Consider the following 18,774-nt stretch of genomic DNA (forward strand, 5'->3'; position numbering starts at 1 on the left):
ATACATATATATATATATATGTATATATATGTGTATATATATGTGTATATATATGTGTATATATATGTATATATGTGTATATATGTATATATGTGTATATATATGTATATATGTATATATATATGTATATATATGCGTATATATATGTGTATATATGTGTATATATATGTATATATGTATATATATATGTATATATATGTGTATATATGTATATATATATGTGTATATATGTATATATATGTGTATATATATGTATATATATATGTGTATATATACATATATATATAAAATATAGAAAGCAACAAAAGTGAGATACAGTTCTTCCTCTTCCCTTTCTTTTTCTTAAAAGAAAATCTTTTGAGTGTTACAGCTCTTTTAGAATTTGTCTAGCCGGCTTTCCAGTTTTGCCGGAAAGCCCCCAAATAAATAAATAAATATAAATCTTTTGCATCAAAGGACATTATCAAGAATGTGAAAGACAACCTACAGAATGGGAGAAAATATTAACAAATCATATATCTCATAAGGGTTCAATATTCAGAATATATAAAGAACTCTTACAACTCAACAACAAAAACATAACATAGGGCCTGGCATGGTGGCACACGCCTGTAATCCAGCACTTAGGGAGGCTGACACGGGTGGATCACCTGAGGCCAGGAGTTCAAGACTAGCCTGGCCAATATGGCGAAACCCCGTCTTAACTAAAAACACAAAAATTAGCTGGGCATGGCGGGCACCTGTAGTCCCAGCTACTCGGGAGGCTGAGGTGGGAGAATCGCTCGAACCCAGGCGGCAGAGGTTGCAGTGAGCCGAGATTGCACCACCACACTCTCCAGCCTGGGCAGCAGAGCGAGACTCCATCTCAAAAAAAGAAAACAAAAAAAATAAACAGATAACTCAGTTAAAAAACAGGCAAAGGACATGAATAGACATTTCTCCAGAGAAGATATACGCATGGCCAAAAAGCACATGAAAAGATTTTCCACGTCATTGGTCATTAGGGAAATTAAATCACAACCAAAATGAGATACCACCTCAACTAGGATGGCTCAAATAAAAAAAAGAGTTGGTGAGGGTATAGAGAAACTGGAACCCTTCAGCATTGCTGGTGCAAATGTATAAAGGGTGCAGCCACTGTGGAAAACAGTCTGGCAGTTTCTCAGAAAGTTAAACATAGAGTTTCCATATGACCCAGCAATTCCGCTCCTAAGTATACACCCAAGAGAAATGAAAACATATGTCCACACAGAAATTTATACACAAGTGTTTATAGCAGCATTATTTATTTGTTTAAGCTTTTAATTTTTTTTGAGACAGGGTTTCACTCCCATCACCCAGGCTGGAGTGTAGTGATGCAATCTTGGCTCACTGCATTCTCCACCACCGGCGCTCAAGCAATTTTCCTGCCTCAGCCTCCAGTGTAGCTGGGATTATAAGACCATACCTGGCTAATTTTTTGTATTTTTAGTAGAGACAGGGTTTTGTGATGTTGAGCCTGAGATCAGGTGATCTGCCTGCCTTGGCCTTGCAAAGTGCTGGGATTACAGGCATGATCCACCATGCCCAGCCAACAGCATTATTTGTGATACCCAAAGGTGGAAACAGCCCATCCGTTGATGAATGGATAAACAAATGTGGTATACTTTTTTTTGGAGACAGAGTTTTGCTCTGTCACCCAAGCTGGAGTGCAGTGGCGCAATCTCGGCTCACTGCAACTTCTGCCTCCCGGGTTCAAGCGATTCTCCTGTCTCAATCTCCTGAGTAGCTGCAATTATAGGCGCCCACCACTGCACCCGGCTAAATTTTGTATTTTTAGTAGAGATGGGGTTTTGTTGTGTTGGCCAGACTGATCTCAAGCTCCTGACCTCAAGTGATCCACCCACCTCGGCCTCCCAAAGTGCTGGGGTTACAGGCGTGAGCTACGGCGCCCAGCCAACTCTTTTTTTTTTTTTTTTTTTTTTTTTTTTGAGACAGAGGCTCGCTCTGTAGCCCAGGCAGGAGTGTAATGGTGCGATCTCGGCTCTCTGCAACTTTTGCTCCCTGGGTTCAAGCGATTCTCCTGCCTCAGCCTCCTGAGTAGCTGGGACTACAGGTGCGCGCCACCATGCCCAGCTAATTTTTGTATTTTTAGTAGAGACGGGGTTTCACCACGTTGGTCAGGCTGGTCTCAAACTCCTGACCTTGTGATCCACCCACCTTGGCCTCCCAAAGTGCTGGGATTACAAATGTAAGCCACGGTGCCCAGCCAACTCTTAACGAAGTAGTATTCAGCCATAAAAAGGAACAAAGTACTGACACATGCTACAATATGAAGGAACCTTGAAAACATTAAGCTACCTGAAAGAAGCCTGTTACAAAAGGCCATATATGTATCATTCCATTTATATGAAACATCCAGGTTAGGCAAATCCATCAAGACAGAAAGTGGATTAGAGGTTAGCAAGAGGTGGGTGGACAGAGAAGTGGGGAGTGATTACTTAGTGGGTATAGGGCTTCCTTTTACAGGTAAAGGAAAAAATCTTGAAACTTGAGAGAGCTGGTGGTTGCACAATATTTGAGTGCACTAAATGTGACTGAATTGGTCATTCAAAATGAACAAAAGTGGTTAATATTATGTAAATTTCTTTTGTTTTTTTTGAGACAGAGTCTCGCTCTGTCACCCAGGCTGGAGAGCAGTGCTGCCATCCTCGCTCACTGCAATCTTTGTCTGCCGGGTTCAAGCAATTCTCCTGCCTCAGCCTCCCAAGTAGCTGGGATTACAGGTGTGCACCATCACGCCCGGCTAATTTTTGTATTTTTAGTAGCGAAGGGGTTTTACCATGTTGGCCAGGCTGGTCTTGAACTCCTGATCTCAAGTGATCTGCCCACCTCAGCCTCCCAAAGTGCTGGCATTATAGGCATGAGCCACTGTGCCTGGCCATAAATTTCACTTCAAAAAAAAAAAAAGTGATCAGTTAAGGAAAAAAAAAAAAAGATAGTTGGGCCTAGGTCATGAAGAGGCTGAAAACCAAGCAGCAGAATTTGTGCTTTATTCTGTAGGTAATAGGGAGCCATTGAAGGTTTTATCCAGTGACAGCCGTTGAGTCGGGTAGAACAGAGAGGAAGGGAGAAACTGGAGCTGGGTGGGCCAAGTAGAAGGTCACTGTCATAGTCCAGCTGCCAGCAAGAACTGACATGGCTCTGCAAGCAACAGAGAGGGAAGGAAAATATGAGAGAACCATTTCAGTACCAATAGGGTCTCAGCAACTGATTGGATATGGGCAGCAAGGAAAGCCAGGAGTGGATTGATTTTGAGGTATTGAACCGGGTGCCTGCATAAAGGTGGATTCATAGGAGAAGGAGCTGCTCTTTGAAGGTGTTAAAAAATGGAAGAGGGGCCAGGTGCGCTGCCTCACACCTGTAATCCCAGCACTTTGGGAGGCCGAGGAGGGTGGATCACTTAAGGTCAGTTCAACACCAGCCTGGCCAACATGTTGAAACCCTGTCTCTACTACAAATACAACAATTAGCTGGGCATGGTGGCACACTCCTGTAGTCCCAGCTACTCAAGAGACTGAAGCACAAGAATCACTTGAACCCAGGAGGTAGAGGTTGTAGTAAGCCGAGATCATGCCACTGCACTCCAGCCAGGGTGACAGAGCTAGACTCCATCTCAAAAAATAATAATTAAAAAATTTAATAGAAGAAGAAGGTGATGGGCTCAGATCAGTTTTAAGCCCTGGCTGGGGATCTAACGAAAAGCTCTCCAGCCGGGCACAGTGGCTCACACCTGTAATCCCAGCACTCTGGGAGGCTGAGGCGGGTGAATCACAAGGTCAGGAGACCGAGACCATCCTGGACAACATGGTGAAACCCCGTCTCTACTGAAAATACAAAAATTAGCTGGGTATAGTGGCGCGTACCTGTAATTCCAGCTACTCGGGAGGCTAAGGCAGGAGAATCGCTTGAACCAGGGAGTCGGAAGTTGCAGTGAGCCGAGATCATACCACTGCACTCCAGCCTGGCGACAGAGCGAGACTCTGTCTCAAAAAACAAACAAACAAACAAACAAACAAACAAACAAATGCTCTCCAAGCAGGAACCATGGACTTGTTCTGGGGAGCAACTCAGATTTGGGTGGAGGTAACTCAGGAGGTTCAAGTCACACCCACTCCCTGCTACTGTCCCCAGAGTAGGAGTCCCCAAGTCAGGCTCCATGGTATCCCCAATGAAGAGGGTAAAGCCAAGACCAGGCTTCTGTAATTAACTGTAGCTACTCAATGCTTCACCCAGCAGGGAGTGGGAGAGTGGCTGAAATGTGGGTCCCAGTTCCACCGTGGTGAGCCCTGCCTGCCCCTGCTTTTCCCACAGGGTTTTTAGGAACACCACAAGCACAGAGGTGTACGGTTCCTGCAGGAAAACACAGATGCATGGCTGAAGTTACAAACTGAGGTTGGCCCTAGAGGCTCAGAACTGGGATTGCCTCTTGAAAGACGTAGGTTGAGGCTGGGCGTGGTGGCTCAATCCTGTAATCTCAGCACTTTGGGAGGCCAAGGCGGGCAGATTGCCTGAGGTCAGGAGTTTGAGACCAGCCTGGCCAACATGGTAAAACCCCATCTCTACTAAAAATACAAAAAAATTAGCCGGGCATGGTGGCACGTGCCTGTAATCCCAGCTACTCAGGAGGCGAGGCCGGAGAAGCACTTGAACCCAGGAGGCAGAGATTGTAGTGACCCAAAATCACGCCATTGCACTACAGCCTGTGTGGCAGAGTGAGACTCCGTCTCAAAAAAAAAAAAAAAGAGAAAGAAAGATGATGGTTGAAGTCAGAATGGATGAGACTGCAGAGGACACTGTTCAGAAGACGATGGCAAGAAGGGCCAACCACAGACTCGGGGGAACACCCTTGGAGGGAGACAGGAAGAGAACTAGGGAAGGACCTATTACAGAATTTGGAGGCCAGGCGCAGTGGCTCATGCCTGTAATCCTAGCACTTTGGGAGTCTGAGGCAGGAGGATCGCTTGAGGCCAGGAGTTCAAAACCAGTCTGGTCAACATAGCAAGACCCCATTTCTACATAAATATTTTTTAAAAATTAGCCGGAGGCTGGGGGCAGTGGCTTATGTCTCTAATCCCAACATTTTGGAAGGCCAAGATAGGAGGATCACCTGAGCCCAGGAGATTGAGACCAGCCCAGGCAACACATAGTGAGACCTCATGTCTATAAAAAAAGAAAAATAAACAAGAAATAAAAATAACGAAAAAAAAATTAGCTGGTGTGGTGGCATGCACCTGTAGTCCCAGCTTCTTGGAAGGCAGAGGTTGGAAGACAGCTGAAGCCCAAGAATTTGAGGCTGCAGTGAGCTATGATCATGTCCCTGCACTCCAGCCTGGGTGACAGAGTGAGACCCTGTGTCTAAAATAAAGAAGGAGGCCACCTTCAAGAGAACAGGGCGTGGTGGCACATGCCTGTAATAGCAGCTACTCGGGATGCGGAGGCAGGAGAATCGCTCGAACCCGGGAGGCGGAGGTTGCGGTGAGCCTAGATCGCACCATTGCACTCCAGCCTGGGCAACAAGAGTGAAACTCTGTCTCAAAAAAAAAAGGAAGAAGTTTATTTTAGTTTGCATTTCCACCAAAACAGACTCTGAGATGAGAATTTGGGTGCAATTATTGTCTTTGTGTTACAGGAAAGGGGTCCCGATCCATACCCCAAGAGAGGTTCTTGGATGTCACACAAGAAATAACTCAGGGTGAGTCCTAAAGTGAAAGCAAGTTTATTAAGAAAGTAAAGGAATAAAAGAATGGCTACTCCATAGACAGAGCAACCCCAAGGGCTGCTGGTTGCCCATTTTTATGGTTATTTCTTGACTAACTGCTAAACAAGGGGTGGATTATTCATGCCTCCCCTTTTTAGACCATATAGGGTAACTTCCTGATGCTCCCATGGCATCTGTAAACGTCATGGCACTGGTGGGAGTGTAGCAGTGAGGATGACCAGAGGTCACTCTCATCGCCATCTTGGTTTTTGTGGGTTTTAGCCAGCTTCTTACTGCAGCCTGTTTTATTGGCAAGGTCTTTGTGACCTGTATCTTGTGCTGACCTCCTATCTCAGCCTGTGACTTAGAATGCCTTAACCATCTGGGAATGCAGCCTAGTGGGTTTCAGTCTCATTGTACCCAGCCCCTACTCCAGATGGAGTTGCTCTGGTTCACACACCTTCTGACATTTGGGCTTGTGACTGAGCAAATTACTGCTATGGGCAATAAGGGTTCGGTCCTGCTGGGAACATGTGTGAGTCTGTGGAAAAAGCCCCAGAATTGTCCTAGAAAGGGGTGAATAAGGTGGTGTATTTATTCATCAACCCCCTCACCCCCGCTTCATGCACTGAGGGTGTCCCCTGGGGGTTAACTCTGAGGAACAGCCCTCAGAGAAGCTCTGTTGTAGCAGAGCTTTCTGTAAGTGACAGCCAGTGTTGGTGTGTGTGCAGATGTGGGTGGGTGGGTGGCATGAGTGGAGCTCTGTCCGGGTTGGCTACAGGCTAGAGAGTCTCTTTGAAGGAAAAGGGAATCTAAGGGCCTGGTGTTTGGGCACATTTCAGGGGGAGGAGGGAGCACACCAGCTTGGCCCAGATCTGGTGTCATGGAAGCTTGCTGGGCTGATCTGTAGAGACAGTTTCTTCCCGCATGGGGAAAAAATATGAAGATGCGCCAAGGGTGTAGCAGTAAAAAGGAGGCCTAGCATGACTGTGGCAGGCCAATCCTCCCTGGCAATCACACAGACAGGCCTACATGACAGTCACACAGACAGGCCTGCATAGCACTCCAGTTACACAGGCAGATATCCACAGCGCCGCCTTAACATGGAGCAAATAGTTAAACCTAGGGAAATCAGTGCCCAGACATCAAAGCTAGAAATGAAACATACGGTCAGTCGGAGCCTTGAATGGGCTTCTCCCTAACCTGGAGCAAGCCAAAATAATAGAGACAGTCTTACATTCCCAGTGCCAAAACCCTTCTCGGGTCGACAAAATCTGAGACGAGTCAAAATAACTGAGGCAGCTGTTTGAATAGATTCATTGGAGAGTGTAAGGCAGCTCTCCGGACCAAGCTGTGAAGGACATAAGCTAGAAATAATCACTCCGGTACCACAGTAGACAGGCCTTGAAGGTCCTGGGGCCCTTTTAATTGGACTGAGCAAGTATTTTTTTTTTTTTGCCTCTGACCTTCTAGTTGAAGCAAAATTAGTTATCAGTAGCCTTAGGCAAATGTTTTACTGCACGTAGGCACATAGCCGCAGCCAATATAAGCACTAAGAAAATTGTAAGGCGTGGTCTAAAATAAATTTTTTAAAAAAAGAAATTGTAACACTTTGAGTTGGTCTGGTGGAATTATCTCCGGCCTTCTCCCTGTATCCGGTTATAGCAATAAATTCCCTTCTTTCCTAGTTTGTCTGTTTCTCGTTATTGGTTCTCAAGAAAACACAGCCGGACCTTGCTTGGTTCTGGGAACATGACAGCTCCATTTGGCTCCTAACCACTCCCACTCCCACGGTATCTGTTAACTGCTTTTACTTATATCTGCACAAAGGATCCTAGGCCAAGCTAACTATGGGAGGAATTTAGTTTATAGTTTGTTTTGTTTTGTTTTTGTTTTTGTTTTGAGACAGGGTCTTGCTCTGTTGCCCAGGCTGGAGTGCAGTGGCAAGATCTCTGCTCACTGCAATCTCTGCCTCCCAGGCTCAAGCGAGCCAACTGCCTCAGCCTGCAGAGTAGCTGGGATTACAGGTGTGCGCTACTATGCCCGGCTAATTTTTGTATTACTAGTAGAGACGGAGTTTCGCCATGTTGCCCAGACTGGTCTTGACCTCATGACCTTAAGTGATCCACCCGCCTTGACCTCTCAAAGTGCTGGGATTATAGGTGTGAGCCACTGCGCCCGGCCTAATTTAACTTTAAAATGAGGATGATAATATTCCCTTCCCGAAACTAATTCCCAAGGAAATAAGAAGGGAGTACACACAAATCACAATGTTATGTTAAAGATTTATAGGCCGGGCGTGGTGGCTCACGCCTGTAATCCCAACACTTTGGGAGGCCGAGGCGGGTGGATCATGAGGTCAGGAGTTCAAGACCAGCCTGGCCAACATGGTAAAACCCTGTCTCTACTAAAAATACAAAAATTAGCCGGGCGTGGTGGTGCACACTTGTAATCCCAGCTACTCGGGAGGCTGAGGCAGAATAATTGCTTGAACTTGGGAGGTGGAGGTTGCAGTGATTGTGCCACTGCAATCTAGCCTGGGCAACAGAGTGAGACTGTGTCTCAAAAGAAAAAAAAAAGATTTATAGGAATATTGTCACATGAGCAAGACAGAGAAGGTTCCCAACCTCCTCGGGTCCTTGCTGGTGCCCAGATATCTGTGGTCATCGGTCACCTCTTGGTCTCAACCCCCTTCCTCTTCCCCTTTCCCTAACATAACAGGGGCCCGAAGTTTATATTAATTCATGATGAGTTACAGTGTTAGGACAGCAGTCTGCCATCTTCATGATTTGCTGGCTCTCTAAATAAAGTCGTCTCCCTTGCCCCAGCACCTTGTCTCCTGATTTATTGGCTGTTGTTACAGGGTGTGAGGAGAGGGGAGAAGAACAGGGAAAGCAGGCAGGTTATTAAACACAGTCAATATTTCTGGCTCCATTGAAGTCACATGATTTGGAAAAAAAAGTTGGGGAATTGAGGGGAGAGTTTTTTTTTTTAAGTTTTTATTTTTTTGAGATGGAGTCTCACTGTTGCCCAGGCTGGAGTGCAGTGGCGCTATCCCAGCTCACTGCAGCCTCCACCTCCTGGGTTCAAGTGATTCTCCTGCCTCAGCCTCCCAAGTAGCTGGGATTACAGGTGTGCACTGCCACACCCGGCTAATTTTTGTATTTCTAGTAGAGACGGGGTTTCACCAAGTTGACCAGGCGGGTCTCCAACTCCTGACCTCAAGTGATCCACTCACCTCAACCTCCCAAAGTGCTAGGATTACAGGCGTGAGTCACCACGCCCAACCAAGGGGAGACTTTTTATTTTGAAATGACAAGAGGAAAACCCTGGAAAAAGTTAGGATCCACAATTATATAGTTTCTGGAAAAAAGAAACCTAAAAGTGTATTTCTTGCTTATTTTCTTTTTACCCACGAGACTTGGAAAACAGAACAAATGTAATGCCCTGGTTCTAAACAGCATGTTAAGCTCAGCATTATGTGGCTCTCAGTGTTCAAGTGGCGCTCCCCTCTGATCACGAGTGAGACCATCAGAGTGTGGGGTGACTCGCAGCTGCCTGTCGGGCTTCTGCAGGAGGAAGACCCCAGCTGCTGCCCCGGGTGGGTGGGGAGATGCCAGCGGGAAACTTCATCTCCGCAGACACAGCAACTGCCCGACAGCCCCACAGGACTGGGGACAAGACACGAAATAAATTGCTTCTCCCACCACACCTCTGAGGCTGTGGACAGGGTGTTTGTGGGACCCAACTCAGAACTGAGCTGTCCTCATTCTTGCTACTTACTAATGCAATACTGGGCTGAACGGCCATCTGGTTCTGTTGGGATTCTGAATACAATCTGTGTGTAGGATTGGGTGGAAGTACCTGGCTGAAATCCAGATAAGGAAAGAATTGGGCCGGGGCCGGTGGCTCATGCCTGTAACCCCAACACTGTGAGGTGTCAACGTGGGAGGATCGCTTGAACCCAGGAGTTCAAGACCAGCCTGGGCAACATATTGGGACCCTAATTCTACTAAAAAATTAGCCGGGTGTGGTGGCATGTACCTGTAGTCCCAGCTTCACAGGTGGGTAAGAAGAGAGAATCGCTTGAGCCTGGGAGGTCGAGGCTGCAGTAAGCCATGATGATACCACTGCCCTCCTTCCTGGGTGACAGAGATCATATCTCAAAAAAAAAAGAAGAGGCTAGGCGTGGTGGCTCATGCCTGTAATCTCAGCACTTTGGGAGGCCGAAGCGGGCTGATCACAAGGTCAAGAGATTGAGACCATACTGACCAACATGGTGAAACCCTGTCTCTACTAAAAATACAAAAAAAATTTAGCTGGGCTTGGTGGCGCATGCCTGTAATCCCAGCTACTTGGGAGGCTGAGGCAGGAGAATCACTTGAACCCGGAGGGCAGAGATTGCATTGAGCCGAGATCGTGCCAGTGCACTCCAACCTGGTGACAGAGCGAGACTCCGACTCAAAAAAAAAAGAAGAATATGAGAACTGCATTTGTTTCTCATTAGACTCACCATGTACAGAAATAGAATGTCCAGCACATTATTCCATGCAGTAAATTTGTAATCTTGTCAGAACAACTCTGGTGAATTTAACATTATTTATTATCTAAGAGGGAACGTGCTGCCTTGTTCATTTCCTGATGTTCCATGAAAGTGATTATGGGATGGATAGCTCTTTTTTTTTTCAGTTACTGATGTTAAATTAATTGACTTTAATTCCTGGGTTTTTCTCCCTTCTTCTCTCCTTCATTTGTCCTTCTCAAATACTATTTATTTATTTATTTATTTATTTATTTATTTATTTATTTTGAGATGAAGTCTCACTCTATCACCCAGGTTGGAGTGCAATGGTACGATCTTGGCTCACTGCAAACTCCACCTCCCAGGTTCAAGCAATTCTCCTCCTGCCTCAGCCTCCCGAGTAGCTGGGAGTACAGGCGTGCACCACTGCACCCGGCTAATTTTTGTATTTTTAGTAGGGATGGGGTTTCCTTTTTTTTTTTTTTTTTTTTTTGAGATGTAGTTTTGCTCTTGTTGCCCAGGCTGGAGTGCAATGGTGTGATCTTGGCTCACCACAACCTCTGCCTCCTAGGTTCAAGTGATTCTCCTGCCTCAGCCTCCCAAGGAGCTGGAATTACAGGCACCCACCACAACCCCTGGCTGATTTATGTATTTTTAGTAGAGACGGGGTTTCACCATGTTGGCCAGGCTGGTCTCAAACTCCTGACCTAAAGTGATCTGCCCACCTTGGCCTCCCAAAGTGCTGGGATTACAGGCGTGAGCCACCACGCCTGGCCCCTTTTCTTTAAAGAAAAAAAAAATTAAGCTCCAAAATTTTAGTCAAGTGAATTTATGATCGTGGCTGCCAAGCCACCATTTGCCGGGTCCATTACAATATCCCCCCTAAGCATTTCAAATCCATCAATAGATAACGAAGACATTGTAGAACCCTGTTATGACACCAGGTTGGTGGGCCTAGGTCAGCTGTTCCATGAGAGGCCCCAGCATGCTGTGTGCGGTGGGAGGTAGTACATGAGGTTGCAGGACAAGAGGCAGGTGTCACCCGTAAGTTGTGGGACCTTGGATAGGTTAGGTGGCCTCAGGTTTCAATCTGTATCTGAAGGCTGGGTGCACTGGCTCATGCCTGTAATCCCAACTTTGGGAGGCCAAGGTGGGAGGATTGCTTGAGGCCAGGAGTTTGAGAGCAGCCTGGACAACATAGAGAGACCTTGCCTCTACAAAAAATAAAGAAAAAAAATACATTTTAACTTCAATTAGAGGTCGGGCGTGGTGATCCACTAATCCCAACGCTTTGGGAGGCTGAGGTGGGCAGATCACCTGAGGTCAGGAGTTCGAGATCAGCATGGCTAACATGGAGAAACCCTGCCTCTACTAAAAATACAAAAATTAGCTGGATGTGGTGGTGTGTACCTGTAATTCCAGCTACTTGGGAGGCTAAGGCAGAAGAATTGCTTGAATCCAGGAGTCAGAGGTTGCAGTGAGCTGAGATCGCACCATTGCACTCCAGCCTGAGTAACAGAGCTGTCAAAAACTAACTAACTAAATAAATAACTTCAATTAGAGACTATAAAAAAGAAAAAATAAAATGAAATAAAAATAGCTGGGATGGTGGTGCGCTCCTGTAGTCCTAGGTACAGGAGGCTGACAGGGGAGGATCACCTGAACCCAGGAGCTTGAGGCTGCAGTGAGCTAGAATTGCACTCCTGCACTCCAATCTGGCTACAGACCAAGACCCCAGGTCTAAAATAAAAATAAAAGTTTGTACCTGGAAATGAGAAAACTGGATTAGATCATCTCAAATATCTAAACATCTAAGGTGGCTAAACATAGTATTGGGTGGCCGAGGGTAATGCAATTTCTGTTTCTGATTTGGACAAAGAAGCCTACAGTAAGAATGAATTTAGGGGGAAATTTTCAAAAAAAAAATCTCTTTGGAAAAGTAAATGCAGTTCTCTTTGAGAAAAGGCACCTAGTTTGAGTATCCGCTGGAAATGCGAGTGGGTCAAGGAATGAGTGACTTTCAGCTAAAGAGAGTTATCAAGAAGCCAGGCGTGGTGGCTCATGCCTGTAATCCCAGCACTTTGGGAGGCTAAAACAGACAGACCACTTGAGATCAGGAGTTTGAGACCAGCCTGGCCAACATGGTGAAACCCCATCTCCACTAAAAATACAAAAAATTAGCCGGGCGTGGTGGCGGGTGCCTGTAATTCCAGCTACTCGGGAGGCTGAGGCACAAGAATCGCTTGAACTTCGGAGGTGGAGGTTGCAGTGAGCCAAGATCACACCACTGCACTCCAGCATGGGTGACAGAGCGAGATTCCATCTCGAAAAAAAAAGTCATCAAGACAAAACTCCACAGCTGTCTTGTTCAGGCTCAGGGAACAGGGAAGAGGGGACAGGGGTCTGAAGCTTCTGACCATGAAGTGCACTTATCTGCCTCTGAGATCATCCATTAAGCAGGCTGGGTTCTTAGTAGGGAAGGCCTGAGCCTGTTTGCCAGTCCTGCGGGGCATTAACAGGGGTCACACTTACCTAATGCTTATCATTTTCAAATGCCTTTCATTTATATTTCCTCTAGGATGAGGACGATACTTTACTTGTGCGTAAATATATTTCCTTCTTTTAATTTTGTTTGGAATGTCATATCTGTTAATGAATTTAAATTAGTGATGAATTAGTATTTCTGTTGATAGTTGATGGACAGTCAATTTTATAGGAGAACCTAATTGACCAACCTGGGTCATAGTTGTATATTTTCAGCTCCTGACTTTCTGGTGCCACCAGTTGGAGTTACTAGTGCCCTCCTGGGAGGAAAGAGTTAACAAGCAGATCTGGTAGCCTACTCCTTGCATATATCAGGGTACCATGATTGACCATTGGCCAACTCTGGGAATGTGGCCCTTGGAATGTTCTTTGTGATAGTTAGTGATTGGTGATTTTCTCATACACACCAGGAGCAATGGACTGTGCCAGATCAGATGGTGAAATTTCTTCACACAAACATCAGAAATGAGTGGCCGGGCGTGGCGATTCACACCTGTGATCCCAGCACTTTGGGAGGCAGAGGCTGAGGCTGGAGGATCACTTGAGGTCAGGGATAGAGACCAGCATGGCCAACATGGTGAAACCCCATCTCTACTAAGAAAAATACAAAAATTAGCCTGGTGTGTCATGCGCCTGTAATCTCAGCTACTCGGGAGGCTGAGGCAGGAGAAGCACTTGAACCCAGGAGGCAGAGGTTGCAGTGAGCCGAGATCACGCCACTGCACTTTAGCCTGGGTGACGGAGTAAGACTCTGTCTCAAAAAAAAAAAAAAAAAAAATCAAGATTGAGGATGGGCACCTAGATTCTGTGTTGGGTTCTCAATTTTGGTTGCCATGGCTGGTTGCTAAGAGAATATGCGTATGTGACCATCCTCTCCCAGTAAACCTTGCACCCTGATACTCCAGTGGGTTTCCCTGGATAGAGATATTCCACACACGTTCCTGTAGTGTAGTTTTGCTGCCAGAAAAAGAAAGCACTCCTGTGGTCTCGGACAGGGAAGGACATCCGAAGCCTGTGTGAGACCTCTCTGGACTCCTCCATTGCATGTCTATTTCCTGCTTGCTTTTATTCTGTATCATTGGCTGTAATAAATCTGAGCCATGAGTATAATTTCCTATTGAGTCTTGGAGCTCTCTAGCAAGTTACTAAATTTAGGGAAGTGGTGTGCCTCAGCATATCCCCCTAAATCTCTGTCTTAGCTGTAGAGAGAACAGTAATACTTTTCCTGGTTTCTCCTACAACCCTAACTTGACAAAAATTAAGTCCCTACTCCAGTTTTGAGACCACTAATTTCTCTAAACCTGTTCTTTAAAAAAATTTCTTTAAGGCAACATTTTTAGCTCTGAGATTTAAGTTAAGTGGAGCTGCTGATACAGCTCCAATGAGTGAAGGAACACCAGGTTCTTCCTCTCAAGTTGAATTAGAAAAAACGGCAGGGACACACGTGGAGTAGTTTTAATGACTGGAGAGTTTAATAGGCAAGAAGGAAGGGAGAAGACAGAAGGAAGACCCTCCCCCATACAGAGACAGAGGGAGGGGGGCCTCTAAAGCCAAAAGAGGAAACCCCACCTGCCACGGATACCAGCCAGGTATATATACAGAGGCTGGAGGAGGTGGTGTCTGATTTACATAGGGCTCAGGGGATTGGTTTGGCCAGGCATGTCATTCACGTAGCCCGTGAAAAAGCTGGCTCTCCCACCCTAGCTTTTTAATATGCAAATACAGGGTGCCATGATGTTCTACACATGTGGGGATATGCGGGGGCGGCCATATTGCCAGGAACATGTGGGGCAAGGGCAAGAAGGCTGCAGGAATGGCCATGTTTGGGTGGACCCAGTTTCTAATGGCCATCATTTGCTTATCAAAGGTTGCCAGCCTGGCTCTAAGAGCTGGGGCTTTACAAGAAACTTTTCCAGAGATGCTTTAAAAAACGAAAACTTCCAAAGGACCCCTTTTGTCTCTATCTGACTAAAATAATTTCTTTTCTTGTTTTTTTGTTATTTGGTTTTTATTTCATAATCATAAACTTAACTCTGCAATCCAGCTAGGCATGGGAGGGAACAAGGAAAACATGGAACTGCAGCAAGAGCACAAAGATTCTAGGATACTGCGAGCAAATGGGGTGGAAGGGTGTTCTCCTGAACTACAGAAGGAATGGTCTGGTGGTTAAGATAAAACACAAGTCAAACTTATTCGAGTTGTCCACAGTCAGCAATGGTGATCTTCTTGCTGGTCTTGCCATTCCTGGACCCAAAGCGCTCCATGGCCTCCATAATATTCATGCCTTCTTTCACTTTGCCAAAGACCACATGCTTGCCATCCAACCACTCAGTCTTGGCAGTGCAGATGAAAAACTGGGAACCATTTGTGTTGGGTCCAGCATTTGCCATGGACAAGATGCCAGGACCTGTATGCTTTAGGATGAAGTTCTCATCTTCAAATTTCTCCCCATAGATGGACTTGCCACCAGTGCCATTATGGCGTGTGAAGTCACGACCCTGATACATAAACCCTGGAATAATTCTGTGAAAGCAGGAACCCTTATAACTAAATCCTTTCTCTCCAGTGCTCAGAGCACGAAAATTTTCTGCTGTCTTTGGGAACTTGTCTGCAAACAGCTAAAAGGAGACGCGGCCCAAGGGCTCGCCGTCGATGGCAATGTCGAAGAACACGGTGGGGTTGACCATGCCTAATAATACAAGGTTTTCCTCGGCAGCAGCGTCTGTCTGGCTCCATCACCAAGGCTGGAGTGCAGTGGCACAATCTCGGCTCACTGCAACCTCCACCTCTCGGGTTCAAGCAATTCTGCTGTCTCAGCCTCCCGAATAGCTGTGACTAAAGATGCCTGCCACCATGCTCAGCTAATTTTGTATTTTTCAGTAGAGATGGGGTTTCACCTTGTTGGTCAGGCTGGTCTGGAACTCCTGACCTCCAGTGATCCACCTGCCTCGGCCTCCCAAAGAGCAGGGATTATAGGCTGTGAGCCACCGCACCCAGCCAATAATTTCTTAATAACTCCTACAACACTGCCAGATAAAAAGAACCAAATAAATGAAAATAAGAAATGACAAAATAGGCCAGGCATGGTGGCTCATGCCTGTAATCTCAGCACTTTGGGATGCCGAGGTGGGTGGATCACTGGAAGCCAGGAGTTGTAGACCAGCCTGGCCAACATGGTGAAACCCCGTCTCTACTTTAAAAAAAAAAAAAAAAATTAGCTGGGCGTGGTGGTGGGCACCTGTAATCCCAGCTACTCTGTAGACAGAGGGAGGAGAATCACTTGAACCCAGGAGGTGGAGGTTGCCGTGAGCCAAGATCTTGCCACTGCACTCCAGCCTGGGTGACAGAGCAAGACTCTGTCTAAAAAAAAAAAAAAAAAAAATAGGAAATGACAAAACAGACAAGGAAGGAAGAAAAGATGCAGCAAAGCCTCTTTGGAGGTCAAAGTTCCATCTGATAAGTCTCCATATTCCCATGCTGTTCACTTTTTGGACACTGGGTGTCTTTATCCAGAAAGCAGAAAAAATTCTACCAGGAAAAGAGCATGCTTGAATAGTGTAAGTAAATGAATAAAAAAAAAAAAAGGCACCCAACACTACTAGCCTTTGACAAGGTTCTGAAAGTAAGTCAGAAAAGGAGGCGTGAGAGTAATTGAGTTGCCTTCATAGGCTTTTGTGTTTGAAATAACTGCAAGAGTATTGATTACCTCCTTCAGTCAACATTCTTGTGAAAGTTCTCATTCTGCATCCCTGCTGGGCGAGAGGCCATTTCTCCCAAGGTAGCTGGGGCATCGTTATTGATGAAGTGGACTTCAAGTGACTAGTTAGGAAAGTCCTCAGGGTTCCTTTCCCAGCCGCCTGGACCCAGGCTTGTGGACAGAGCAGGAGGCAGACCAAAGCCTTTCTTCCTCTTGCCCTCAGAGGAGTGGGGATATTTAGTTTCTTCTGTAGATTGAATGTTTAAGTCCCCTCAAAATTCACATGTCGAAGCTGGGCACAGTGGCTCACACCTGTAATCCCAGCACTTTGGGAGGCCAAGGCAGGCAGATCATCTGAGGTCAGGAGTTCAAAACCAGCCTGGCCAACATGGTGAAACCCTGGCTCTACTGAAAATACAAAAATTCACCCAGCGTGGTGGTGCACGCCTGTAATCCCAGCTACTCGGGAGGCTGAGGCAGGAGAATCACTTGACTCCGGGAGATGAAGGTTGCAGTGAGCAGAGATAGTGCCACTGCACTCTAGCCTGGACAACAGAGCAAGACTGTGTCTAAAAAAAAAAAAAAAAAAAAAAAAAAATTCACATGTTGACACCTAATCCCTAATGTGATTGTATTGTAGGTGTGGAGGTGATAAATTTCTATTTATCTTGCACCTCCCAAAGGTGATTAGGTCATAAAGGTGGAGTCCTCATGAACAGGATGAGTGCTCTTACAGAAGAGGCTTCGTGGACCACAGAGAATGCAAACACTATATGATGTGGTCTCTGTCCCAAAAAGCTTATGATACAGTTATCAGCATCACGGTCACTGTTCTCACTGCTTTCTACGGAGTTCTTACATCCGAGGCAATGTGGGGATCCACTGATTCATGTAACTCACATGATCATGGAAGAAGGTGCCTGATATGTGAGTCCTAGAACTCCTCATTCTGTATTGCTCTCTCTCTTTTAATGAAGCTTCCATTTCTAGACTACTCCTCTCTGGCTTTTCTCCTATTGCATCTCCATGAAATGTTAACAGAAACAACTCTTTTGCTTCTCATCATCAGCTTGTGAGGAGGCATGACAGAAGTGACACATTCATAACAAAGAAGATGGGAGAAGACTAAAAGATGTAAAGAAATAAAGTACCTATTGCAGTGCTTGGCACAGAACAGTTTCTAGAAAAATATTAGTTCCCTTTTTTTTCTTTTGTTTCACTGTGTCTGCACTAATAATTAGTGCCACTAGATGGCAACTTTTGGTCTAAAAACTACCCAGACAATCACTTTCAAATCTTAAAATACTTTTTGGGTTCTCTGTAACTGTATTCCACAGTGACTTTTAATGTAACAAAGTAAGAAAAATCTATTTGGGTTCCAAATAATGGAAAATGTAAATAAGTGAGCAGCAAAGTGCTCTTTGGGCAGAAAAACTGTCTAATGCTATGTCCTGGCCAGAATTTGGCATATAATTCTGCTTAAGAGTATTAATTATTGTGACTACTACTTAAGCACACTGAATGTTAAATTTCTATTTATCTTGCAGGATTCTCAGCATTCCCTGGTGACAATGCTTGTTTCATATTTAGGAGCTCCCCATATTTGCAGCAATCTATTCTTAGAAATAATTTTTTTGGAGAGTTCACTGGCCACAGATCACTCAGATACTGTTCCCCAAGAATTGAAAGGACAGAATCCTCAGCAAGCATTTTTTAAATTATTTACTTTCATTGCTATATAAGAGTTGTATATATTTGCTCAGTAAACTCTTGCAGGAGAATTTAGAGTAACATTTCAGCCTTTTCTCTCAAGTTTGTGATTTTAAAAATGGCTGGAAACATTTATTGAGCACTTATTGTACTGCCAGTTATTATGTTGCATATTATATAATAATCCTATGATAAGTTGGTGGAATTTTTATTTTTTCCAACCAATTTATGTTTATTCCAAAATTGCGAAGTTGGTTAAATATTTGAGAAACAAACAATGTAACTTATGTACTAAGAGAATAAAGGAGGAAAATTGTATAATTTACTCATTAGATACAGGAAAGTCTCCACCAAAATTCAATACTCATTCAAAGTAAAAACTCATTGCAAACTGTGAATAGACGGAAACTTCTGGCTGGGGGCAGTGGCTCATGCCTATAATCCCAGCACTTTGGGAGACCAAGGCAGGTGGATCACCTGAGGTCAGGAGTTCGAGACCAGCCTGGCCAACATGGCAAAACCCCATCTCTACCAAAAATACAAAAAATTAGCTGAGTGTGG

General features: G+C 45.2%; 2 pseudogenes; one reads left to right on the plus strand and one right to left on the minus strand.

Moving 5' to 3' along the window:
* On the plus strand, positions 361–419 carry RNU7-22P (RNA, U7 small nuclear 22 pseudogene; annotated as a pseudogene).
* PPIAP31 (peptidylprolyl isomerase A pseudogene 31) lies at positions 14,801–15,531 on the minus strand (annotated as a pseudogene).

The sequence above is a fragment of the Homo sapiens genome, chromosome 10 (assembly GCF_000001405.40).
Source record: "Homo sapiens chromosome 10, GRCh38.p14 Primary Assembly".
NCBI lineage: Eukaryota > Metazoa > Chordata > Mammalia > Primates > Hominidae > Homo > Homo sapiens.